The sequence below is a fragment of the Homo sapiens genome, chromosome 11, assembly GCF_000001405.40.
Source record: "Homo sapiens chromosome 11, GRCh38.p14 Primary Assembly".
NCBI classification, from domain to species: Eukaryota; Metazoa; Chordata; class Mammalia; order Primates; family Hominidae; genus Homo; species Homo sapiens.
The window spans coordinates 1,653,426-1,680,298 of NC_000011.10; the positions used below are offsets into that span (position 1 = coordinate 1,653,426).

The 26,873-nt window shown below is 51.9% G+C and overlaps 2 long non-coding RNA genes across 2 annotated transcripts, besides 2 other annotated features; one reads left to right on the forward strand and one right to left on the reverse strand.

The window, feature by feature from the left end:
- Window positions 1,388–1,992: an enhancer, noted in NCBI's record as "H3K4me1 hESC enhancer chr11:1676043-1676647 (GRCh37/hg19 assembly coordinates)". NCBI's record gives its function as "activates a minimal SCP1, AML or CMV promoter by ChIP-STARR-seq in primed H9 embryonic stem cells {active_cell/tissue: H9 hESC(primed)}" and the evidence as "EXISTENCE:reporter gene assay evidence [ECO:0000049][PMID:30033119]".
- On the reverse strand, window positions 6,404–8,847 carry LOC124902609 (uncharacterized). The gene is made up of 2 exons (XR_007062547.1): window positions 8,657–8,847; window positions 6,404–6,929 (listed from the first exon to the last, which is right to left on the reverse strand). It is a non-coding gene; the product is annotated as an uncharacterized LOC124902609 (long non-coding RNA).
- A 3,326-nt stretch (window positions 8,848–12,173) lies between these two features.
- FAM99A (family with sequence similarity 99 member A) lies at window positions 12,174–14,431 on the forward strand. The gene is made up of 3 exons (NR_026643.1): window positions 12,174–12,339; window positions 13,010–13,118; window positions 13,277–14,431. It is a non-coding gene; the product is annotated as a family with sequence similarity 99 member A (long non-coding RNA).
- Window positions 20,474–20,768: a silencer, noted in NCBI's record as "tiled region #10567; HepG2 Repressive DNase matched - State 5:Enh". NCBI's record gives its function as "represses a minimal TATA promoter and a strong SV40 promoter by Sharpr-MPRA in HepG2 cells {active_cell/tissue: HepG2}" and the evidence as "EXISTENCE:reporter gene assay evidence [ECO:0000049][PMID:27701403]".

Here is a 26,873-nt window from a genome sequence, read left to right on the forward strand (position 1 = left end):
GTGGCCTGGGACAGCCCTTCCCTGCTGGGCTCCTTGCTTTGTGTTAACCCTGAGGCCTGGGAGCCTGAGTTGGGGAAACGGGGGACTCCAGACAACACCCAGCTTGGATGCCGGCGTCCACTTCTGCTCAGAGAATCCAGTCAACTCAGGGCTTTGGGCTTTCCCATGACCAAAGAAAAGAAGTCAGTGAATGAGAATCAAATAAAGGAAATGATTTTCTGCCACCACCGGGGCGCAGACTTGCTGTCCATACCACTGTCCCTGGCTGTAGCACCCATGTGTGCCTGTGTGTCCAGAGGCCCACGGAGCCCAGATGGGCCTGGGGATGATTTCAGCCTCCAAGGAGGCCGCCCATCTCTTCCGGTGGCCCCTGCTTCTCACCCAGTGTGGGCCAGGCCCACCTGAATGCTGAGGGCAAGGACGAGTGGTCGTTACCTAAACGAGCCAGAGATGGCCTCTGGGGACTGGCCCTTGGGTCACTTATTTCTTCCCTGCAGGCTGAGCTCATTAGTTCAAGAGCCCACTGGCACCAAACTCAGATTTTTATACATTCAATTGTTTTAAAAATAGCCCCAAACAAGCAGACTTTCAGCCATTTAGAGCCTGCCTGTTGCATGTATTCTGCAAAACCTCACCTGGCAGCTGTTCGCTATTCATCATCCTCACTCTCTGTCTATCTCTCTGAGTCCATCTCTGTCTCTGTCTCCATCTCCATCTCTGTCTCTGCCTCTGTTTCCGTCTCTGTCTCCATCTCTGTCTCTGCTTCTCTTCCCCCTCTCTCTTGCTCTCTCTCCCTTCTCTCTCCGTCTTTCTCTGTCTCTTGCTCTCTCTCTTCCTTCTTTCCCCCGCTCTCTCCCTTTCTCTCCCCTTTCTCTCCCCCACCCCTACCACCCTGTCTCTCTTATCTGTATGATGGGGAATGAAGGATGCAGCAATGGCCGCCCATGTGTCGGTGGGAGCTCACTTCCCCAAGCCTTTACTTGAGGGGACTCTGAAGGGCTTCATGTCGCGTCAGCTTGTGATACGCACAAGCCGACTGCAGCAGACACAGCTGGGCCCTGTGTGCACATCTTCGCCCACCTCGAGGTCACCTGTGGACACCAGCATGGAGTCCAGCCTGTGGGGAAGGCTGGAGTCAGGGAGGCTAATGCCCTTCTAGGGGCAATCTGTACTAATGAAAGAGAAATAACTCAGAGGACACCATGGCGTCCCCTGCAGCCTTGCAGAGGGTCCCCAGCAGCTGTTCCTGCACTGAGGCCTCCTTGGCCTCCTCCTCCCTCTTCCCTGCGCTTCCCCGAATCCGCCCCCAACCCGTGAGCTTTGCCCTCCAGCCTTTGGCTCAGTGTCTGTTTTTGAGGAAACATAAACTAAGATAACAGCCTTGTGATTTCAGGGCTCCCTGTGACCGCAGCAGGGCCTGGGTTATCCGGGCGGATGCAGCTGTCCACAGACAGGCCTGAGGCTGGGCAGGGGGTAGGGGGCTGTGGCCTGCGTGTGCCTCTGTTCCCATTCCCGTCCCCTTCTTCCTTGAGGAGCACACGCCTTCTCCACTGTCACATTCCTCCTGCATCAGGAGCCCCCTGGAACCCGCGGCTTCGGGTCTGGTGCACCCTGTGGGGCCTCATGCCACTTGGTGTCACGTACTCAAGAGTTTATTTTCCCACAGAAATTTAGGAGAAAGTAGGGATTGTTTGTAGTCAAAGGAAGAAGTGTTCCTCAGTGGATGGAGAAGGCCTGGCTGTGCTCCAAGGCCCTGGGCCCTGCATACTCATCTCCTGGGGCTTCCTGAAGCTCCCTGTGGAGCGTGAGCCTGCCGGGCCACCTGGAGCACAGGGGGCCTCCAGGGACAGTGGGGGCACTGCGGGCCGGGCCCACGAGTGGGCTCCTTCACCTGGGCCTCCCCCAGGGCTGACAGCCCCTTGGATCCCAGGGAAATGCGTCCCAACCACAGAATGAGGTGCTGCTGGGGTACCTCCTTCCTCGAGCAGGACAGCCAGTCATGGTGCCCCTCTCTGAGTGGCATGGGCATCCAGGTAGAAGAGTGCCAGGACATGCCTGGGCAGCACCCTCTGGGATGCCACGGGCTCTATCCCCAGCTGCCCGCTGTGCCTCATTCTGGGGTTGATGGGTGCCAGGGCTCCCGCATGCTGGACCAGCAGGGCACCCTGCAAGGTGGTGCCGCCTTGAGGCAGTGCCAGGAGGTGACGGCTCGCCCACACAGGCTCCCGAACATCAGGGATACGCAGTAAAGACAACCTCATTCTAATGTTCTGTCTGTTTGGATAGGGACAAACACAGCCCAGATCTCAGCCCCCCGGCAGACACCAGACACCGCAATGATTTGCTCCAGCAAGCCAACTGTCCCGGAGCGGTAGCTGCTGGAGTCCTGATCCAACTCCACTATTGTCATTCCTATACCCAGGTGTGGGCGATCTGTGCTGTTAGACCTGGGGGGCTGCAATGGGTGGGACGGAAGCCTCTGGACCCCCAGTCCCTGGTGTAGAATGGTTCCTGGGAGTCTGGAAGAGGTGCCATTTCTCACGCGCCTGTCGGGGATGGACTGACAGCTGCAGGACCCACCTCGCCGCTTCTAGCTGTGGGTCCATGCAGCCAACACAGAGGTTTGTGGTCACTGAGGACATTCGTGCAGACACTTTGTCCAGTGCCCGAGGGGACAGCTGCAGGCCAGCTGTAGAGTCCATGCAAGTTCTGCCCTGAGCGGTTTGCATTGAAATCCAGGCAGTCGTCTGCTCTCCACACACTTCCACTCTGACTGGGAGGGGGCCGCAGTGTCCTTCAACCCCATGGGTCAGCGTCCACAGGCCCTGGATGATTTAGGCAGAGTTATACCAGTAAAAGACCACAGCTGTCTGGGGAAGCCAGGAGCATGCCTGGCACCCACTCAGATGCTGCCCTGGCAGCAGCCTTGTTCAGGGTCCCAGTCTCCTGCACATCCGGGACGCTGAGCAGGGCTGGCTGTCAAGTGGGGCTGGCTGCCGTGCTCACCTGCCTTCTGCTGCTGGGGGCCGGGGGACTGTGCTTCTTCGCCTTTAGTGGTGGAAGGAAAATACTCATGTAACAAAAACTATACACATGAAGTGTTTTCCCCCAAAGAAACAAGGGTGCTAGCCGGAAAGATGATCAGCTGCCAGAAAACCAAATAAAATAGCAAACCTTCTCTATAGGTGCCCAAGATGCCCTTGACAAAACTCCAAAGCCACTCATGGCAAAACCCAAAGCCAAAGAGAGATGGGAGGAAACTGCTCAAACATGAGGAATCGTGCTTCTCAGGAGCCAGTGGTGAACACGACCTTAACATATGAAATGCAAACCACTGTCATTCGAATGAGAACTAACGTGGTCCCCGTCACCCCCATCATTTATTTTGGTTCTAGCCACCGCAGGAGGATCACAGAATAACACAGGCCATGTAGGGAAATTGCAGCCTGGCCGGGCATGGTGGCTCACATATGGAATCCCAGCACTTTGGGAGGTTGAGGTGGGCAGATCACCTGAAGTCAGGAGTTAGAGACCAGCCTGGCCAACATGGTGAAACCCCATCTCTATCAGAAACACAAAATTATCTGGCCATGGTGGCAATTGTCTGTAGTCCCAACTGCTTGGGAGGCTGAGGCAGGAGAATCACTTGAACCCGGGAGGAGGAGGTTGCAGTGAGCCGAGATGGTGCCACTGCACTCCAGCCTGGGTGACAGAGCGAGACTCCATCTCAAAAAAAAAAAAAAAAAGAAAAGAAGGAAAGAAAGAAAGAAAGAAAAAAGAAAGGAAAGAAAGGAAGAAAATTGCAGCCTGCCTGAGTGGGGTGTCCTGCTGGTGAGGTGAGTGCTGCTGGGGTCTGGGCTTGTTGCTGACATATGCCTTGAGAAAGGTTTGAATAGGGCCGGGAACAGTGGCTCACACCTGTAATCCCAGCGCTTGAGAGGCTGAGGCAGGCAAATCACTTGAGATCAGGAGTTCAAGACCAGCCTGGCCAATATAGTGAAACTCCGTTTCTACTAAAGACCCCCCCCAAAAAAAACAAAAAAAAAACAAAAACAAAATTAGCCGGGTGTGATGGCTCATGCCTGTACTCCCAGCTTCTTGGGAGGCTGAGGCAGGAGAATCGCTTGAACCCAGGAGATGGAGGTTGCAGTGAGCCGAGATTGCACCACTGTAATCCAGCCTGGGCGACAGAGCGAGACTCCATCTCAAAACAAAACAGAAAGGTTTGAATGTTCCTCAGCCACTTGAGTGGCCCGGTCTGCCCAAGTATGAGAGATTTCCAGGGATGCAGGGCTTTCAATGCTAAGAATCATTTTAAAAAGGCAGTCTCCGGGAGTGAGTGGGTCGCCCTAGCGGCTGTGACTGGTGGCGCCCTTCCCCGCCCCTCACCAGCCCTGAAGAAACTGCCCCTCATTTTTGTTTTTCTTTGCATTTGTGTGATGGCTGCTAACTTTCTTGCATGCACATTGGCCATGAGTGTTTCCTGTAAGATATAAGTTTCCTGTGTGTATTATTTGCCCATATTTCTTTTCTTTTTTTTGAGACGGAGTCTCACTGTGTTGCCCAGGCTAGAGTGCGGTGGTGCCATCTCGGCTCACTGCAGCCTCCACCTCCCGGGTTCAAGCAATTCTCCTGTCCCAGCCTCCGAAGTAGCTGGGATTACAGGCGCCCGCCACCATGCCTGGCTAATTTTTGCATTTTTAGTGGAGACAAGAGTTCATCATGTTGGCCAGGCTGGTCTCGAACTCCCGACCTCGTGATCCACCCACCTCGGCCTCCCAAAGTGCTGGGATTCCAGGCATCAGTCACGGCACCCAGCCCATATTTCTACAAAGATTTTGTCTTCATCTTTTAAGTTCAGAATGTAAATACCCTGTGGCTCTTCCATCTTGTTTTGGGCCTTAGTCTGAATTGCGCCCTGTCACCACAAGGTGCATGAACAAGGGCACTGGCACTGCCTTCAGTGTCACAGAAACAACAAAACGATGCCAAACACACGACGTGAAATGCTGAGATCTCCATCAACAGGTGACCGCCGAATTCACGACGATCCAACGTAACCGTGGAAGCTGATGGAAAAAAGGAGGTGCATATACATATTGATGTTACAACCGTCCCATGTTAGGCTGGGCGCGGTGGCTCAAGCCTGTAATCCCAGCACTTTGGGAGGCCGAGGTGGGCGGATCACGAGGTCAGGAGATCGAGACCATCCTGGCTAATACGGTGAAACCCCGTCTCTACTAAAAATCCAAAAAATTAGCCAGGTGTGGTGGCGGGCACCTGTAGTCCCAGCTACTCGGGAGGCTGAGGCAGGAGAATGGCGTGAACCCGGGAGGCGGAGGTTGCAGTGAGCTGAGATCGTGCCACTGCACTCCAGCCTGGGTGACAGAGCAAGACTCCGCCTCAAAAAAAAAAGAAAAAAAAATAAGAAAGAAATCTGCAGGTTTATGAGCATGAGCACAGACAGTGGGTGAAACAGACACTAAGAGGTGTTCACACTGACAGCGGAAGGATCAGGACGAGAAGGGGTTGGGGGAAGTTTTTCGCTTTTAATTTTTGTACCCCCTATTGTTTACCCAGTAAGAATGGTCGGGTATTCCTTTTATAATTAAAGGAAGTAATCCATTGAAGAAAATAAAATAAATAAAGTTGAAAAAGATGCATGCCTATTGTGGGCCTTTCTTTTAGGTAAAAATAATGTCTAGAAAAATGAAAACCAAAATTTCTAACCATACTTTTTTTAAAGAAAGAAGTTGGTAAAGATAAAAACATAAATTAGGCCAGACTCGGTGGCTCACACCTGTAATCCCAGCACTTTGGGAGGCCGAGGTGTGTGGATCACAAGGTTGGGAGATTGAGACCATCCTGGAGAACACAGTGAAACGCTGTCTCTACTAAAAATACAAAAAATTAGCCGGGCGTGGTGGCGGGCGCCTGTATTCCCAGCAACTCAGGAGGCTGAAGCAGGAGGATGGTGTGAACCCGGGAGGTGGAGCTTGCAGTGAGCCGAGATCGCGCCACTGCACTCCAGCCTGGGCGACAGAGCGAGACTCCGTCTCAAAAACAACAACAACCACAAAAACCCAAAAAACATAAATTAAAGAAATAGAAAAGAAGAGCTGAGCATTTCACAAACGGAGAGCAGGTGTCTGGTGTTTGGTGTGTTCCGGTCGAGTGTAGTCAGGAAAAGGAAGCCGCGTTGTCTGCGGGGCGGGGGCCTGTGCTTGTGGCTGCAGCAGCCCCTTCCCATCAGATAAGGACATTGTTCATGCGCGGACTGGCACCCAGGACAAAAACAACACCCACAAAACCTGGTAGCCCCACTTAATGTTCCCCTGCCGCGGCGGCTGGAGGATGGAATTACCAGAAGCAATTAGACAAAGGAGGTTCAGAACCACAGGCATGGAATTAACTAACTTTATTTAAGATGACATGTGGAGAGACTGGAAGGACACCTTCGCTCTGTCTGGGAAGCCGTGAGGCTGAGGGGGCTGTCCCCCGCCCGGGTCCCGTGGGGAGCCCATCTTCTACCAACCCATCCCAGGTTCAGCAGGGTCTCTTGCTTTTGTTCGGAGCGCAGCAGGAGGCCACTGAGGTGCCCACAAAGGGGAGAGATGGGAGGCAGACCATGTTCTCAGTGACCACTGTCTCTGCTGTGTGATGAGGGGTTGTCTTGGGGAGGAAAGAATGCATGTGACCGGCAAAGCTGCAGAAACTCAGCTTAGAACAGGTCACAATCATGGTAGCAAACACTGGGGTGGGGAAGTCGGCCCTGACTGAGAGGCCAGGATGGATCCCAGGTACGTCTCTGAGGGGAAAGGAACAGGGCCCGTCACGAGCAGGAGGTGCCGCTGAGGAAAAGCAAGTTTCTGATGTGACTCCTGACTTCTCACAATGGGGCGTGGCACCAGCAATCAGAAGGGTAAAGGCTGTGGGTCGAATCAGAAGGTGCATCATACGTATGCCGAGATCAGACGCCTGTGACACGGCCAGGAGGTGTGCAGAACACAGCCCATGATGAGACTGCCCCTTGGGCACAGTTAGGGACTGCAGGATCATATTTAAAATTTCTGGTGCACAGATGTTGTGTAAAGAGACTGGGAGAGCGGGAGATTGGGAGAGGGGAAGGAGAGGAGGAGGGGGAGAAGGAGAAGAGAGAAGGCCTCCAGGAGCCTCAGAGCTGATGGACGCGGAGAAGCTGCGAAGCCTACACAGGGGACAGCCGGGAGGGTAGGGGCAGCAGGTGAGAGGAGAGAGGGCGTTAAGCTGGACGGGGTGAGCTGTGCGGGTCACCACAGGCGCAGAGGGATGATGAGCACAGAACACTGCCTTCGGGGGCTTGGGTGACCACGAAGACGTGTGTCAGGCTGGAGACCCTACCCTGCTTAGAAGCTGAATGTCAGTCTATGACTGTCTCATGGGTACCAATAAACATACTCCCCATGGCCCTGTCCCACTCTCCACGGCCCTGTCCCACTCCCCACGGCCCTGTCATACTCCCCACGGCCCTGTCAAACTCCCCACGGCCCTGTCATACTCCCCACGGCCCTGTCAAACTCTCCACTGCCCTGTTGCACTCCCCACAGCCCTGTCGCACTCCCCACGGCCCTGTCCCACTCCCCACGGCCCTGTCACACTCCCCACGGCCCTGTCCCACTCCCCACGGCCCTGTCCCACTCCCCACGGCCCTGTCACACTCCCCACGGCCCTGTCCCACTCCCCACGGCCCTGTCACACTCCCCACGGCCCTGTCCCACTCCCCACGGCCCTGTCCCACTCCCCACGGCCCTGTCCCACTCCCCACGGCCCTGTCCCACTCCCCACGGCCCTGTCATACTCCCCACGGCCCTGTCCCACTCTCCACGGCCCTGTCCCACTCCCCACGGCCCTGTCACACTCCCCACGGCCCTGTCACACTCCCCACGGCCCTGTCCCACTCCCCACGGCCCTGTCAAACTCCCCAAGGCCCTGTCACACTCCCCACGGCCCTGTCACACTCCCCACGGCCCTGTCCCACTCCCTACAGCCCTGTCGCACTCCCCACATCCCGTGGCATCTGGCTGTACATGGAAGTGAGGAAGCTGCTGTCTCCCCCAAAGAACATTGCTCCCAGCCAGGGCTCAGCCCTGTGGGGCAGGACTCAGAGGCTCCTGGTTCAGAGACCAGGGCCCTTGTCACTTGCAGCGTGAACAGCAGGGAACTTTGCCCCCGAGTCCCACAACAGAGGTGGGGACCTTGTCACGGTGGGCCCAGGTGTGACAACACAGGGCCAGCGATTCTTCACCCGGCAGCAAACACTGCAGCAGACGACAAACATTGCAGCCCTTGGCAAACAAAAAGCACGCAGCAAACAGCGTGGTCAGCGAAAAGACCCTCCCCTCCCCGGGGATCAGACAGTGCAAGGCCATCCCCGGGATGACCTGCACCCACCCGGCTGCCTGTGTGACCAGCCACAGAACCCACTCTGCATTAGCACCCACGGCCAGGACAGGCAGGGTGCTGCGCCCGTGGCTTCCTGCATCTGCCGACACCACCCGAGGCTGCCAGGCCACAACATGAAGTCAGCTGTGCCAGGAAATCCCAAGCCTCGCCCACACCTGGCCCCGGGCTGTTGCTGCATGCCAAGGGGTTGCCCACCTGGCTGTGGCTGCCTTACCCCATGGAATCCAGGCTCCAACTGACCTCACCATTCTGTGGGTTAATTTTCATTCTTAAAACCTTCATCTAAAGACCTTTGCTTCCTGGAACACAGGCCTGGGTTTTCCCAACAGTCGTGGGCACCCGGCCTGGCACGTGCTGCTCAGTGGAGGGACCTCACAGCCCGTTCTATGTGAGCTGTGCAGGAAAAGCTCCACGGACAAACTCACTCTCCGTGACAATCAGGAGGTTTCTTCTCCAACCACAAGAAGGAGCTGGGGGAGCTCGTGAGGCCAGGAAGAGAACAGTCCTAATCCCATCCTTCCCCTCCTCAGCAGTGACCCCAGGGTCTGCTGTCCTGCCCCAACCCACACTTCAAAGAAGGAAGGACACCTGCCTTCCCCTGCTACCTCACACCCCGAAGCATGGGGAGCATGGGGACCCTTGGCAGAGTCCTTTTGTAGTGAAGAATAACAGACTAGTGTAAAATAGCAGAAAAGAAGCTAATGGCCAAACACATCCAAGCTGGGGAAAACACCTGTTAAATATAATGACAGAATATGCTCTCATCAAAACCCAGGAAACTTTAAGAATACACTAAACCTCACAAAATGGGGGCGAAATACAATGATGACCACACGTATGAGAAATGGTCAATGGTAGAATTGAAAGAAATGCAAGGGAAATGAAAGATAAGGGGTCCTTTCCAAGCAAAGTGGCAACGCCACAACAGCTCGCAGTCAGTCTTGGCGGGACAAGAATGCTGGGCAGTGCTGGTTTGCAGGGAGGGGTCAACTTTTCTGGAAGCAGCCCAGCAAAGTGCCCCACGAGCCATCAATTATTCCTGTGCTTCGCAGCCACAGCCCACGAATGCAGGTGCAGCCACAGAAGCGCTGGCAGAGGGGAGGCTGAGAGTGGCGCTGGTTGAAGATTTCTCACAGGAAACAAAAGGCACAGCCTCCACGTGGCTCATGGCCATGAAAACCCTTGACTCAAAACTTTCCACGTCGTGAGGAAGACGCGGGTCAGCTGCCCTAGTTGGGTGATGATGATGCTGTCAGGGAAAGCGTCTGTGCCTATGTGGGGAGAGTAGGGGAGTGAGAAACAAAGCAAAGCGTGGTGGCTCTGTGGCTCCAGTGCCCCGGAGGCCACGGCTCACTTTTTCACAATGAACATGGGCTATTTTCATTTTTTAAAGTCTACTAATGTTTCTAAGGAGACCATACAGAACCGAAAATTCTGAATAACCTTGTCTTCCATAAGGCAGACTTTTCATTTCTGTCACCTTTCCGGAAGGGCTGGACACAGAGTCTGTGGGTCTGTGATGGAGGCGCCACCATCTCACCCCGAGTCCACGGCCCTCAGTCTCTGTGCTCCCCGAGCCGAAGGTGAGGAATCCATGCCTTATGGTTGGCGAGGGCTGCTGGGGCACCTGCCATCTCATCTGCATCCTGGGAAGCAGGAAGGAGCACAGAGGAAAACACAAGCCTGCTCTGGCCAGCTCAGTGTGCTCCTTCCAGAAACAGGTAAACACAAAATTACCCTGCGAAGCCGCCATTCCATTCCTAGGTCTATCCCCAAAAGAAATCAAAGCAGGGACTCAAATACTTGCACAGCCCTTGCCACGACCTGGATGTAGTCAGTGCATCTGTTCCCAGCAAAACTCTTGTTGAAACGGGACCCCCAGTGTGGCAGCGTAGGGAGGTGGGGCCTGAGGGGAGGGAGACGTGTGGGTCGTGGGAGTGACTCCCTGGGGAGTCCGTGGTGCTGGGAGTGATTCTCCTCTTGTGATACAGGGTGAGTTCCCATGGGAATGGATTTGTTCCCATGAGTGGGGCTTGTTCTGAAGCCAAGACATCCCTGAGCTTTATCTCTCTTCCCGTGTCTGCTTCCCCTTTGACCTCCTCCAGCAGAAGCCAGGGCCATGCCATTGAACTTCTCAGCCAGCAGAACTGTGAGCTTGATGAATTACCCCATCACAGAGGTTCTTTTATGGCTACACAGAATGGACTCAGACACCCATGCTCACAGCCGTGCAGTCACAATAGCCCAAAGGTGGAAACAACCCAGCAGGTGAGGGGATCTGAAATGGGGTAGACAAACACATCGGGGTCTTACGGAGCCTGGAAAAGGAGTGTGCTCTGACGCCTGCAGCAACGCCACCAACCTTCACAGCCTCGTGCCGAGTGAAGCCAGCCAGTCACAATAGGACCAATGCTGTGACCCCACAGATGGAAGGCCCCCAGAGGAGTCAGATTCAAGAGGAAGATGGCAGAATGGCAGTCAGCAGGGCCAGTGACAGAGGCCGATGGGAGTGAGTGATTAGTCAGGACGGAGCTCCAGTTTCGCGCGATGAAAAGGTGCTGGAGCTGCATGGTGGCGACAGTGGCACAGCCACGTGCAGGTTCCCAATGCCACGGAACTGTGCACTTACCATGGGGATGGTGGGAACTCTCATGTACCCGCATTTGACCAGAGAGGAAGGAAGGAAGGGAGGGGGGAGGGAGGAGGGAGGGAGGTAGCAGAGAAGGAAGGAAGGAAGGGAAGGGGGAGGGAGGAGGGAGGAGGCAGGGAGGGAAGAAGGAAGGAAGTGAGGGAGGGAGGAAGGGAGAGAGGGATGGAGGGAGGGAAGAAGGAAGGAAGGACGGACCAGCCTGTTAGGCTGACTGACAGAGTACCCCCTGTCCTCCAATGCTGCCCACGGCAGGCATGTGGCAGTGGCTGACAGGGAGTGAGTCTGGAAGCGACCCTTGTCGGGGCAGCCTCCTTGGTCCTGTGATTCAAGACAGGGTGAAAGTCAGTGGCGGCCATTGGTGCCTCTGGCCGGGGTTCCTCACAGGGGCCCGCAAGGGGACAGCGAATGGAGCGTGGAGGGTGGAGGGCTCCTTCTCCAGACCGGAGCGATGGGTTCGGGAGCCATTCTGTGCCTGTCTTTGCTGCTGGGCTGAGGAGCTGGATGGCATGCTGGGAGTAGTGGGAGCTGCTGAGGAGTTTGGTCCTGGAGCGAAGAGGCTGAATCCGCATGTCTGGAGTCACCGTGGAGGGCACAGCTAGAGGGAGCAGCAGGGTGTCCCAGGGAGAAGACACCAGGGCTGGAATTAGAGGGACATCAAGGCTGATACTTAGAGGCATCCAATATATGGGGCCTGCCTGATGGGCTGCTCTCAGGTGGGATTTGGGGGGTGTGAGAGGGGTCAGTGCCCAAATGACCATGGGGTCCGTGGCCTGTATGCCCAGTCAGGTGACGACGCCATTCAGAAAGTAGATCTCATGGGGTGCCCGGCTGCTGAGTCTCAGGCCAGATCTGCAGTGAGTGTGCTGCCCCAGGCGTGGAACACTCTGGTGCCATCGGGACCCAAGGCTGAGTGCACCCAAGAGCTGTGGGTCTGAAACAGCGGTCAGAGGTCACTGACATGTGGAGGAGGCCCCTGGAGTGTGGGAGACAGAATCCCCAGGTGTCAGGCTTGGCAGGAGGCTTTGCAGGTGGGGAGGAAGGGCAGGTAGCGTGGCTGCCGGAGGAGGGAGGGCACTGGTAGGAGGAGGGTGGCCTGTCCCGGGCAGACCAGCCTCTTTGGGCTGTGTGGCCCCAGCTCCCTGAGCCCAGAGGGAGGTGAGGGTGAGAAGGCCTGGACCAGGCAGGACGCAGCCCCCAGGGCCCCTGCTGGGAAGAGGTCAGAACCTCCCAAGGACCCAGAAGGCCAGGTAACTGAGAACGGGGCTGCTCTCTGAATCTCCAGGGAGGACAAAGGCGGCCATGGCAGCAAGGGGACAGGGCAGAGGGAAAGGCCGGCAGGTGGATGTTGGAAGCCGCAGATTCCCATCCAGTATCCTAGAGGAGGAGACCCAGGGCTGTGTCCTAGGAGGCCCAGGAAGCCTGGTCAGCCTGGAGGCTGAGGGCGGGCCCGGGAGATCTGGTAAGGACATCAGTGTCTCCACGAAGAGCAGCAGGGTCTCAGCCCATGGCAGCCGCAGGCCCCATGACTGGGGCCGCAGCCTCCAGAGCCGCCACAGCAGCCCGTTGTTCTGGGGGGTCAAAGGTGGAGGCTGTCAGAGGGGCAGTGCAGGGGGCTGCTGGGGTGAAGCCCCCTGTAGCAGCAGCACCCAGCCTGCTGTGGCTCTGCCCTCCTGGACCCCCTGCCCTCCTGGACCCCCTGTCCTCCTGGACCCTCTGCCCTCCTAGACCCCCTGCCCTCCAGGACCCCCTGCCCTCCTGGACCCCCTGTCTGTGGCCCCTGCTCCTCTCCTCCTTCCCCGACACATGACTGGACCCCCCGATCTGCAGCCGGGGTCTGGGCACTGGGGGTCCTGTGGACCTCTCGGTGTCTGGGGACAATCACAGGTTCCCGTGCCCACACCCAGCCTCTGCTTCCAGAACACACTAGAGGGTCCCGGCATCCTGATGAGTCCACTGTCCCCGCGATGGTTTTCAGGGATGGAGAAGGCTCCCTGTCCTCCGCTGGAACCCTGCAGCCGGGCTGACGGTACCCCCACCACCCACCCAGGGGCCCCAGACCCTCCCCATCTCCACCGCCAACCCAGGCCCCGGCTGCGCACGCGGGGCCAGGCCGTGAGCTGCTGTCCCCGGATGGGGCCGCCCCGGGCTGGCCTGGCTCACTCCGTGTCACAGATATTCCCACAGAGACCCCAGCGAGACCTGCAGAACATTACAGCAGAATGAAGGAGAGCCAGAGGAAGAGGCAGATGTGCTGGCCTGTAAACAGTCTGATTTCCAATGTAAACCAGATTCAGGCCCACGACATCAGGTAAACATCTGCATCAGAGCCCCCGGCCCCCCACCGCCCGGGAGGCCCCGGGGTCCACACGGCCGACTCTGGGACCCGTCACAGTGACCGCCGAGACATTTCGTAATTAGGCAAAATTGATCCTTGCATTCCTTCCCTAAATCCCAAATCTCTGCAATTTTACTTCTTCTCAAAAATGAAAACATTTGGCAATTAGCTGATCCAAGTGAAAAAGGTAGAGAATGTGCTCTCAACTGGAAAATGCCAATTAAGGAAGCAGCTCTGACTTCCCACCCGCCCTGGCTAAGCTGGGAGCTTATCTTCCCCGAGAAGAATCTGCTGGGATAAGGGGGCTTGGGAAACACCGAGGGCAGGGCTGCCTCCTCAGCTTCCTCTGAGAGCAGATTAGCCGTGGCCTTGTGCCAGCAGGGCCTGGGTGCCACACAGGGTGGCAGGGGTGGCAGAGCCGGGCCCGGCTCTGGTACTGGGATTTGGGGTGGCGGGACCCAGTGGGGCACCCGCTTGTGGGCGGCACTGAGGGCGGTGACGTAGGCAGCGGGTGCCGGTGTCTGCCCCTCCATCTGGCCGGGCTCCCCACCCTGCTCCTGCAGCCCTGGACCTCAGGGCCCATTTGCGGTGCAAGGCGGCTCTTGGCCATTTTGCCCGCAGGGCCCTACCTTGGGTCTTGGGAGCTTCTGTCCCTTGCCCTCTCTTGTCCAGGTCAGCATCTCCCACTGTGGGAATCCTATGTGGCCCCATCGTCTGGACAGTGTGGGTCAGGTCACTGTGGCTGTTTTGTGATGCGTGTGTGGGCTCATCCCTCAGTGCTCAGAAGCTGCAGACACTATGGAACCGCTTTTCAGGCCCCGTGGCCGTCACCCCCGCTCTAGAGACTTGATTGCAGGGACCATGCCCGGCCGGCCTAACTGCACCCCTCACTCCAGGTGGGTGGGGGGACCCAGGCCTGCTGGCCCCTGTGGTGGTGCAGCCCAGAAGGTGTGAATCAGTTTACACTGTTCAGTGCCTGAATAAAAGTCACAGGACAAAGAGGACTTGGTTGCACAAACTACTGACATGAAATTCACATTTTGTCCTGAAGGAAACGCAAGATGAATTGAACTCATGTTCAGTTTTTATTTCTCATTTCTCCCGCCTCAGTCTCTTCTCACGTGCACGACCTCACAGCGCTGTCACAAGGCCTGCTGGGCACACGCAGCTCATAGAGAAGTGATGGCTTCCTCCTTGCCCCCTCACCTCCCTCCTTCCCCTCTCCCCCTCACTTCGGAGCACGCAGGCTGATTGTGGAGACATCTCCCAGCCAGGATGTGTCAACAGGGAATGTGCTGGGGACAGCGGGAGTTCACAGCCACCCCCGCAGGCGCCTTCCTGGAGCACGTCCACAGGCCATGTGCAGCTGCATCCCCCACGACGGCAGGGACAAGTTCCTTCCATAGGGCCCGGGTGGCCCCCAGAGCTGCACCATTTATGATCCGGTCCTTTGCAGAACGCAAGGGACAGACACATGAACCCTGACCTAGGTTCTTGTGCAGAAATGTTCTCTCATCGGAATAGAAAGGTATGAGTCTCAGGACTGGTTCTCTGCAAAGCAGCCATCGGCCTTTCAAGCAGAAACCATGGAGCCCCCAGAGGCTGAGTCTTCCAAGGCGCTGGGAGACTTGGCGTTTGCCTCTTTTTTAAATGCAATGACCGTTGCAGTGCATGGAATCAGAGACATGTATCTATGCGTAGAAATGAGTCTGTAAACACGATCAAGGTGTGATTTCTGTATGACAATGCAGTTGGATCAGAAATTGGAGAGTGCTGGCCGGGCGCGGCGGCTCACGCCTGTAATCCCAGCACTTTGGGAGGCCGAGGCGGATGGATCACTTGAGGTCAGGAGTTCGAGACCAGCCTGGGCAACATGGTGAAACCCCATCTCTACTGAAAACACAGAAATTAGCCGGGTGTGGTGGCGTGTGCCTGTAGTCCCAGCTACTCGGGAGGCTGACGTGGGAGGATCACTTGAGCCCAGGAGGCAGAGGCTGCAGTGAGTAGAGATAGCACCACTGAACTCCAGCCTGGGCAACAGACTGAGACTCCATCTCAAAAAAATAAATAAATAAATAAATAAATAAGAAAGAAAAGAAGAAATAGTGGAGTGCTGTGGTCACTCTGGAAAAAGAGGAGGGACCCCACCCAAATGTGGTTCCTCCGTCAACCCTGAAGACGCCCCCACACACCGGGACGAGATGAAAGGGTCTGGTACTTACCTAGCTGGGCTTTCACGGGGTGCACGGTGGCTTCAGGAAGGGAGCTGGCGTGGGGCTCTTCTTATGCCTCGGGGGTGGGGTGATGGCCTCACATGGGCAGGAGCCTGCAGGGCTTGAGCCTCTCACTGGCACCAAAGACACCTGCCCTGCTGTGGGGCACACGGGAAGAGGGATGGGTGAGGTGTCAAAGCAGTGAGCCGTCAAACATCATAAAAACGGAGTCAGGCTCTTTATTGCAGGAAACAATTTGCGGCTTTCTGTGCAGAGAGCAGGGGGGATTTGAGGTGGGCTTTGTAGAGTGAGGGAGTTCACCAGATTGACAGTGTGGGCTGGGTCACCCTGTGCAAAGCAGCGATTTCCATGTTGCCCCTGAGAGAATGTTTTCCTGTGATCTCCAGCATCGAGATTTAAAAATTATCATGTTCATAGTCTGATGATAAAACATTAATTTTTAGGAAGGCAGAGGACCTGCCTGCTTTTCCTGATAAGACCTCGTTCCATTGCCCTAGGTCAGGCATGGATTATTAACTCTCAGGGTTTTGGGGGACCAGCAGCCACAGATGTGGAGTCCTGGGGAAAGGGTGACAGCCTCCTCTGCCTCCGGGGATTTGTCCTTCAGTGACTTGACGCCCGCAAGAGTGGATGCTAATTCTCACCGTCCCCATGAAATCCCTGCTGACGCATGCTGCCCAGGAGACATCTCCACAATCAGCCTGCCTGCTGGAGAGAGGAAGGAGGGAAGCGAGGGTGCAAGGAGGAAGCCAGCCCTTCTCTGTGAGCTGCATGTGCCCAGCATGCCTCATGACAGCCCTGTGAGGTGAGAGGAGACTAAGGCGGGAGAAATGAGAAGCTTGCCCGAGTCACGCAACCGAAGCACAGAGCCAGGGTCTGGCGCCCTGAGAGGTCCTGGGTGCATTGGATGCTGTGCACGTACTTCAGCAAAGAGGCAGGATGTTGTCATCTTCCTTCGGAGCCAGTAACATTTTCTGCTGCCAGCAAGGAAAGAACATTGGATCACGCGCCTCCATGCAGGCAGGGTCCTTCAGTGGCGCTGATCCTGAGCCCAGCCCTCTCGTGGTCTGTGCTGACGCCAGGGCCTCTCGTTGGAAGGCCTCGTGCTCCACAGTTCCCCCACAAAGGGGAGGATGCTGAACTCTTTACCTGTAATTCTGGCCTCGAAGCAGCTGTTTTCTGCCTGGCTTCTCACCCCAGCCATGCACAGTGGAGGTGTCAGCAAATCCCTGGAGAGAAAGCCCGGTGGACACAGGGTTCCTTTCTCTGAGGCTCCCTTTCCCTGGGATCACAGTAGCTGAGTCGGGGTCTCCAGAGAAACAGAACTGGGGGTAGGGGGGTGCATAAAGTGAGAAGGAGATTTATTATAAGGCGGGGACTCATGGGGTAATGGAGGCTGCAAGTCCAGCATCTGCAGTGTGGGCAGTGTGGGTAGTGTGGGCAGTGTGGGTAGTGTGGGCAGTGTGGGTAGTGTGGGCAGTGTGGGTAGTGTGGGTAATGTGGATAGTGTGGGTAGTGTGGGCAGTGTGGGTAGTGTGGGCAGTGTGGGTAGTGTGGATAGTGTGGATAGTGTGGGTAGTGTGGGTAGTGTGGGTAGTGTGGATAGTGTGGGTAGTGTGGGTAGTGTGGATAGTGTGGGTAGTGTGGGCAGTGTGGGTAGTGTGGATAGTGTGGGCAGTGTGGGTAGTGTGGGTGGTGTGGGCAGTGTGGATGGTGTGGGTAGTGTGGGTAACATGGGCAGTGTGGGTAGTGTGGGTAGTGTGGATAGTGTGGGTAGTGTGGGTAGTGTGGATAGTGTGGGTGGTGTGGGTACTGTGGGTAGCGTGGATAGTGTGGGCAGTGTGGGTAACGTGGGCAGTGCGGGCAGTGTGGGTAGTGTGGATAGTGTGGGTAGTGTGGATAGTGTGGGCAGTGTGGGTAATGTGGGCAGTGTGGGTAGTGTGGGTAGTGTGGATAGAGTGGGTGGTGTGGGTAGTGTGGATAGTGTAGGTAGTGTGGGTAGTGTGGGCAGTGTGGGCAGTGCAGGCAGTGTGGGTTGGCCAGCTGCAGACCCAGCAGAGTCCGTGGAGCGGATGAAGTCCCAAGGCCGTCCGCTGGAGAATCTCTCTTGCTCAGGAAGGCTGGCTTTCTGCTGTATTCAAGACTTTAACTGATCGGAAGAGGCCACCCACATTACAGAAGGCAACATGCTTCACCCAAAGTTCATCCATTTAAAAGTTAACCTCAGGCTGGGCGCAGTGGCTCATGCCTGTAATCCCAACACTTTGGGAGGCCGAGGCAGGCGGGTCACCTGAGGTCAGGAGTTTGAGACCAGCCTGGCCAACATGGGGAAATCCCGTCTCTACTAAAAATACAAAAAATTAGCCGGGCATGGTGGCACACACCTGTGATACCAGCTACTCGGGAGGCTGAGGCAGGAGAATCGGTTGAACCCAGAAGGTAGAGGTGGAGGCTGCAGTGAGCCGAGATCACACCACTGCACTCCAGCCTGGGGAACAGAGCCAGACTCCGTCTCAAAAAAAATAAATAAATGAAGTTAATGTCCTCTAAATACACTTTCCAAATTGACACATAAAATTAATCATCATAAGAGAGCTGACATTCATTTTTTAATATTCAAAATAGGATCTTGCAACAAGACAGTCAGCTGGAAAGCTAGGCTTGTCGAGAGAGGCAGACAGAGAGAAAGAGAGAAACAGAGAGAAAGACAGAGAGGACTTGCTAAGTTCCTTCATCCTATCCAGAAGCAAACCCGGGAGACTTCGCCCATAGCTGCTGTGAGCGTTCGTGGGCAAATGCTTTCATTTCTCTTGCTAAATACCTAGGTGTAGAATTGGTCATATGGAAAGCGTGGACCTCACCGTTTAAGAACCCACCAAACTGTTTTTCAAAGCGGTTGCGTCGTTTAAAATCCCCTCCTCATACTGTATATTTTGTTCTGCTGACCCGTTTGTCTCTCTTGACACCAATCCCCTTCTGTCTCCATGACTGTAGCCTCACGGCGAGTCTTGAAATCACAGATCTTTGGTCCTCCAACTGTTTTCTCTTTTTCAAGATTCTTTTGGTTATTCTAGGTCCTCTGCATGTCCTTATATTTTTTATAATCAACATGGGAATTTCTCTTAAGAGAAAAGAAGCGCTTCTGGGATTCTGATTGCAATGGTACTGAATTCATTAACCCATTTGGGAAGACGTGGCATCCCGTCAATATCAAGAGTTTGACCCGTGAACGTGGTGCGCACCTCCATTTATTTCATTCACCTTGACTTTCTCCCAGCCGTGCTCTTAGCATATCTCGTACATCTTTTGTGAGATTTATTCGTAAGGATTCATGTTCTCTCTGTAATTTTAAATGGCATTTGAGTTCAATTTCTGCTGTAATACAGAAATGCAATTGATTTTTAGTGGCCTCATGAAGATAAAACTCATATCACACACTTCACCCACTTCAAGTACACAATTCGGTGGTTTTTCATATATTCGCAGAGTTGTCCAGCCGTCACCATGCTCTAACCACCATCACAATGTAATTCTAGAACATTTTTATCACCTCAAAGAAGCCATACCCATCAGCAGTCACTCCCTACTCCTCCCGCTGAGCTTCTCCGCTGGCCTTGGCCACCACTGATCTCTCCTCCCTCTCTGCGGCTTTGCCTCTGCTGAATACAAATCGGGTTCTGCTATGTTCATCCTTCTGTGTCTGGCCTCTTTCACTTAGCGCAAGGTTTCAAGGTTCATGCACGTCATGGTGACCAGAACTTCATTTCTTTTTATAGCTGAGAAATACCCCATTGTGTGGCTAGTCTGCGTTTTGTGAAACCATTTATTGGTGCTGGGACACATGGGCTGCTCCCTCCATGTGGCTATTAGAACAATGCCATGGTGGACATTTGTGCACATGTTTTTGTGTGGACACGTTTTCATTTTTCTTGGGTGGAGTAGAATTGCTAAATCATAGGATACATCTATGTTTAACATTTTGAGGAACTGCCAAACTGTTCTCCAAGGCGATTAAATCATGTTGTGTTCCCGCCAACAACATAGGAGTGTTCGAACTTATCCACGTCCTCACTAACACGGATTATCGGCCTCACTGACGCTGTTCCAGAGACAGTGTGGAATGATGCCTCACTGTGAGTGTGTTTTGTGCTTCCCTAATGAGTAGTGACATGCCACACCTTTTCCTGTGCTATTTGCCATTTGTATCTCTTCTTTGGAGACATGTCTATCATTTTTTAAATGGGGTTAATTATCCCTTTATTACTGACTACTGATTTTGTATACTGATCTTATAGCCTACTATTTTGCTTAAGTCACTCATTAGTTCTAGTAGCTTTCTAGAAGATTCTGTTAGATTTTCTACAGGGATGGCCATGACCCTGTCTTACTTCTTCCTCTGCAATCTATGTTTTGTTTTGTTTTGTTTTCCTTTCCGTGCCTCATTGCACCAACTAGAATAGAGACGCTTTGAGTAGGCACTGCTGCTGGTTCCTTCTCTTGGGGGAAAGCGGGCAATCTTCTGCTAGGAAGCAAGATGCCTGCTGCATCTGCTTCGGAGACGCCCCTTTATCAGACTGGGAACATTCCCTTGTGCTCTCATTTGGCTTGAGTTTTTATTATAAATGCATAACGGATATCAGATTTTTTTCTGTGTCTATGGAGATGATCATATGGCTTTTCTTTTTTAGCTTGTGAATGTGGTGAAATGCACTGATCTTTCAAATATTCAGTTGATCTTGCGTTACTGGGATAAACTCCACGTTGTCATCATGTATTATTATTGTACATATTACTGTATCCAGTTTGCTAAATGTTTGCCTCTATGTTCATGAGGGGTATTGGCCTGTAGTTCTCTTGTGATATCTTTGTTTGGTTTTGGTATCAGGATAAGCCTCGTAGAATGTGTTAGGAAATGTTCTCTGGTCTTCGGTTTCCTGGAAAAAGTTGTACAGAGTCAGGATTCTCTATTTGTTGACTGCTGGGTGAAATTTACCAGTGAAACAATTTGACCTGTCATTTCCTTTGTCGGAAGGTTTTTGAACTACAAGTTTAATTTTCTTAACAAATACAGGGCTCTTTGGTTTATCTATTTTTTTAGTGACTTTAATAATTCGTGTCTTTCAAAAAAATGTATCCATCACATCTGAGTTGTCAGATTTATTGACCTGAATGTTCTGAATAGTCCCTTTCATCCTTTTACATATTTATAGAATCTCCTTCTTTCCCAATCTTGCTAATTTGTGCAGTCTCTCTCTTTAGTGATTAGACAGGGGAAAGATTAATCAATTTTATGGATTTTCTGAAATCATGTGTGCAGAGCAGCCACGGGATAGCACGGCCTCTGCACGCTGTGGGGTGTTCATCAGCTGGACAGGCAGCTGCCACCTGGACAGAGTGAAACCCACCGCCTGAGTTCTGGAGTAATTGTCCCAAGGAGGACCTTTCCACTCTGGGTTGTCCTGGAAAGAGGCTGCTCCTCGTCTAGGAAGTGAGGTCCTGGGCAAAGACCTCAGTGGGAGGGAGGAGACATGATCTTCCTGAGTCTCAGCCCCAAGGCACCAGCCTGGATCCCTCGGTGTGCTGCCCAGAGCTCGTCAGGCACTGATGAGGATTGAGAGGAGGGCAGGGGGGAGCACCCACGTACGACAGGACACACACACACACACACACATTCCCCTCCTGAGACATTTGCATCCAGGGAACATGCAGGCAATTCCTTGTTTGTGCAACTAAAACTCCAGAGTCCCCCAAAGTGAAAACAGCAGGCGGCTCCGAAGTGAACTGCAACTACCACCTCTTCCGAGACAGAAAACGCTCAGTACTGGGAGGACAGGGTTTCCAGATTTTTCTTCCCCAAGTAGGTTCCAAAAATACCAAGGCACTGAGTTTCAGCCAGGGCACGCCTCGCACCTGGCCTGGTCCCGGGGATCAGGATGCACTCTCCGCACGGAGCCCTCTTCTTGGTGGCCTCTGCGGCCTCTGCAACGGAGCTTGTCCTGGGACAACAAAGGTCTTAATCTGGCAGCTCCTCAAATGACCAGCCCTGGGAAGGGAACATGGTCATGAAAATAATAAGAAAGAAAAAGGACTACAGCAAAACAGAAAACCTGATTTAAGACAGCAGGACTTTTGAATCCTGATACAACAGGTTATCAGAAGAACGAATAAATTAAACTTACCAATTAAAAGACACAAGAGTATGGATGGAGTTAAACGATGTTACCCGCGAGAGACACAGAATAGTTGACAATAACAGGAAGGGAAAATGCAAGCCAATTGTATGTGGACTGAAAGAAGGCTACAAAAGGATTAAAACATTAAGCCACAATGCAGCTTTCTGACAGTCAAATGATCAACATACAGAAATATATTTTCCAACCACAGGGCAAAAAAAAAATTAGAAATTAAGTCACAAAAGGGATAGTGCAAATATTGTATGTTTGGAAACCAAATAGTCTATTACCATAAATTTGGGGTTAAAGAGATAATCATAATTATTAAAAAGTAATAAAAACATTGCACATTAGAAGGACGGGGCAGAGTGAAGCAGCTGTTACTGAGAGGTGTACGGTACTAAATACATTTCTCACAAATTATGAAATTGGATGTCTACGCAGATGTTTTGCCTGTTTCTAACGGAGCTGTTTTTGTCATTAATTTTTTAGTTCCTTTTCCATTCTGGGTTCAATCTTTCATCAGTGATATGGTTTGCAAATACATCCTCCAGATCTGCGACTTATCTTCCGATTTCTTGTTAGTGTCTTTTGAAGCACACATTTGAAAAAAATTCGATGAAGTTCACCCTATCAATGTTTTATTTTACGATCTTATTTTTGATGTCATGGCTAAGGAATTGCACCTGGCCCACAGCTTCCTTGACTTTCTCCCATGTTTTCTACAAGTTTTAGTTCCCGGTTTTCATGTAACCCTCTTTGTGTTAATTCTTGTGGAGGACATGAGATAGGGTTCCAAACTTCTTTCTCATGTGGCTATCCAGATGTCCCAGCACTATTTGTGGAAAAGACTGTCTGTCCCCCGACTGAGTTCTGTTTGTTGCCTTTGTCAAAAATCAATTGACAATCTACATAAAACGTTTTTTTTTTTTCCTGGACTTTTGATCCTGTTTCATTGATCTGTGTGGCTACAGTGAAACCAATACGAGACTGTCTTTGTTACTAAATTTTGTTCTTTTAAAAAATTGTTTTATCCATACCGGGTCCTTTAAGTTATTTTTGTCATGAAGTTTTTAGCTCTTTTTTCTATTCTGGATACAATCTTTTATCAGTTATATGATTTGTCAATATTTTATCCTAATCGGTGGCTTTCCTTTCATTTTCATTTGTAAATATTAGGATCAATTTGTCAAATTTTGCACAAATGCCTGCTGGATTTTGACAGGGATTATATTGGATTTACAAATTGCCATGTTAACGTGATTGTGCCTCTGGCCCATGAACACGGGCGGCCTCCCCAGTTGCTCATGTTTTCTTTAATTCCTCTCAGCAGGATTTGGGGGTTTTAGCATTTAACTCTTATACTTCTTTGGTTACGTATATGCTTCTGTATTTTATTCTATTATTATTTAAAATTTTCTTAATTTCATTTTCAGATTGTCTATTACTAATGTATAGAAATTCAGTGGATTTTTGTGTATTGATACTACACTCTGCACCTTTGCTGGATTTTTTATTAGTTCTAACAGGAGTGTTTGTGTTTATTCTGCTTAGGGCTCTCCAAAATTCTCAAATATGTGATTTTTTTTGTCTTTGACTAGCTTTGGGAGACTCTCAGCCACCATCTCTCCAAGTAGCTTTTCTTCCACGATTTCTTCTTTCCTCTTAGGATCATAAGTGGACATTCACTAGAGTGTGTTGAAGTGTTTTAAAGGTCTTGGATGCTTGATTTAGTTCTCTCTCTTTGTCTTTTTTCTCTTTGTGTTCATTTTGGATGACTTCTACTCACCTGTCTCCCAGTTTATGGATTCTTTCCTTAGTTCTTTCCAGTGTGTTAATTAGCCTATGATAAGAATGTTGATATTGTTGGTGGGGGGGCGGTGGTGGAGAGGCTATTTCCATTTGACTTTTGTTTTTTTTGAGACAGGGCCACGCTCTGTTGCCCAGGCAGGAGTGCAGTGGTTCGATCACAGCTCACTGCAGCCTCTAACTCCTGGGCTCAAGAGATCCTCCTGCCTCAGCCTCCAAAGTAGCTGGGACTATAATCCCAGCACTTTGGGAGGCCAAGGTGGGTGGATCACCTGAGGTCAGGAGTTCAAGACCAGCCTGACCAACATGGTGAAACCCCGTCTCTACTAAAAATACAAAACATAGTTGGGCATGGTGGCACACGCCTGTAATCCCAGTACTGGGGAGTCTGAGGCAGGAGAATCACTCGAACATGGGAGGCAGAGGTTGCAGTGAGCCAAGATCACACCACTGCACTCCAGCCTGGGCAACAGTGTGGGACTCCATCTCAAAAATAAATAAATAAAAACAGTGTTCTAGTTTTTTTCAGTTTTCATTTATCTGTTGAAATTCCTCACCTGTTAATGCATATTGACTAAACATACCCATCACAGTTATTTTTATTTATTTATTTGTTTTTTTGAGATGGAGTCTAGCTCTGTCACCCAGGCTGGAGTACAGTGATGTAATCTCAGCTCACTGCAAGCTCTGCCTCCCGGGTTCGAGCGATTCTCCTGCCTCAGCCTCCCGAGTAACTGGGACCACAGGCACCTGCCACCATGCCCAGCTAATTTTTGTATTTTTAGTAGAGATGGGGTTTCACCTTGTTGGCCAGGCTGGTCTCGAACTCCTGACCTCATGATCCGCTCACCTCGGCCTCCCAGAGTGCTGGGATTGCAGGAGTGAGTCACCGCACCTGGCCTGTGAGTTATTTTAAAGTCCCTGTGCAACAGTGTCAACATTGGAGTCATCTCAAAGTTGGATTCTATTAATTGTTTTATCACATGGCCATGGTTCATTTTACCTTCCTTCCTTGCTATCTCATAAATTTTAATTGAATTTCAGACACTGTGTCCAGAGAATAATAGAGACGGAGGCAGGTAGCCTTTATGCCCCAGATGGCTTTGGATCCCCTTCTTCTGGGTATGAATGTGGGATCTGTGCCAGCCTGGGCCATGGGTGGGCCGGGTCAGGGTGAGGTGTGGCCGCCATTACCTCAGGGCGTCAGAGACTGCGAGGCCTCCTAGGCAAGCTCACCCTTACCTGGTGCTGAAGCCTGGGGCTGGGGACCAGGGAGGATTTTCTTTTTTCTTTTTTTGAGACAGAGTTTTGTTCTGTCGCCCAGGATGGAGTGCAGTGGCGTGATCTCAGCTCACTGCAAGCTCCACCTCCCGGGTTCATGCCATCCTCCTGTCTCAGCCTCCCAAGTAGGTGGGACTACAGGCGTGTATCACCACGCTGGGCTAATTTTTTTGTATTTTTATTAGAGATGGGGTTTTGCCACGTTGGCCAGGCTGGTTTCGAACTCCTGACCTCGTGATCTGCCCGCCTTGGCCTCCCAAAGTGCTGGGATTACAGGTGTGAGCCACCACGCCCGGCCCCAGGGAGGGTTTCCTCAGTGCCCCTACAGCTCCATTGCAGCAGGCCCTTCATGCCTGAACCACAGAGGTGGTTTTCTCCATGTTCTTGCCCCTTCGTTCATTTTACGCAACAGATATCTATTGAGCAACTGCCATGTGCCAGACACTGAGCTCAAGTATGGTTTATTCTAGCGAGGCAGGAAGAGCAGTGGGTCTATTTATGTGATTCTGGAAATTCACAAAGGATGAAACCTATGACTACTCAAGTATTAGCTGCAAAAGCTGGTAAAGTTCAACAAAGTTCGAAAGCTTGCTATGGTTCAGCATTCGTTTATGTTAGAAAAAAAGAAAAACTTGAAAAGCTATTAATATCTAACTTCTGAAGAATATCCCTCGGGAAGTGATATTAAAAGTCACATAGAAACATTAGGAGAAGCAGCTACTACCTGTCTTATTAAACATTGTTTTGAATGATAGCATTGGGACACACTAAAAACTAAATACAGTTCAAAATATTTAAAAGGAAGAAATGAAACAACTAGAACAAAAGCTGAGTAAAGATACAACATTATAAATCAACGGATTTTCTAGACACTATGTAGAGAAAATACCACATGACAACATTTCCCATTTATAATTTTAAAATTATAGAATTCTATGGGCAGCCGGGCACAGTGGCTCACACCTGTAATCCCAGTACTTTGGGAGGCTGAGGAGGCCAGGTCACTTGAGGTCAAGAGTTCGAAACCACCCTGGCCAACATGGCGAAACCCAGTCTCTACTAAAAATACAAAAACTTAGCTCGGCATGGTGGCTCATGCCTATAATCCCAACTGCTTGGGAGGCTGAGGCAGGGGAATCACTTGAACCCAGGAGGCGGAGGTTGCAATGTGCCAAGATTACACCATTGCACTCCAGCCTGGGCAATGAGAGTGAAACCCCATCTCAAAAAAAAAAAAAAAAAAAGCCTCCTACCCATAAGATGTAAATAAATGGAGAGATATAACAGGCTTCTTGATTGAGAACACTTACAACTTCAGGTCTCTAAAAATCAACCTATGGATTTAATTATATTCCAATTAAAATAAATAATTACTTTTATCTTGCCAAGTTTTCTCTAAAATTCTCATCAAAATGTATAGGCAAGTGTAGCCATTAAATTTTGGGGGGATGTCTTTATAATTTTTTTAAATTTTTATAGCCATTAAAAATTTAAAAGCAAAATATAAAGGAAGAAGAATGAGTGGTGATTTCCCAGACAGCTATCAGAACAGACTATAAAGCTACAGTTATTAAAACAGCACTGCCTTGCTTCTGGATTACATAAATTGAAGGAGGAAGTGGAGCCGGGCCCTGGCAGCCTTCTCAGTGTAACTCAGGACCCCGTGGACGGGGTGTCTGAGCCAGCAGGAAGAGACAGGGCCTGCTGCAGAGGACGTAACAACAGAACCACGCACCTGCAGCAAGGCAGTCCCATCTCCGTCTCAGCTGAGACACAGAGCAACCACCCAGCTAGGCAGTCCCATCTCAGCTGGAGCACATCCACGAGGAATCCAAATGCACACAAAAAAATAAAAGTACAAAATTCCTGGAAGGACATGTGGGGAATGTATTCCCGATATTGGGGGGGCCTTAAAGCATGGCGCGAAACACAAGCATTGTTAACGGAGT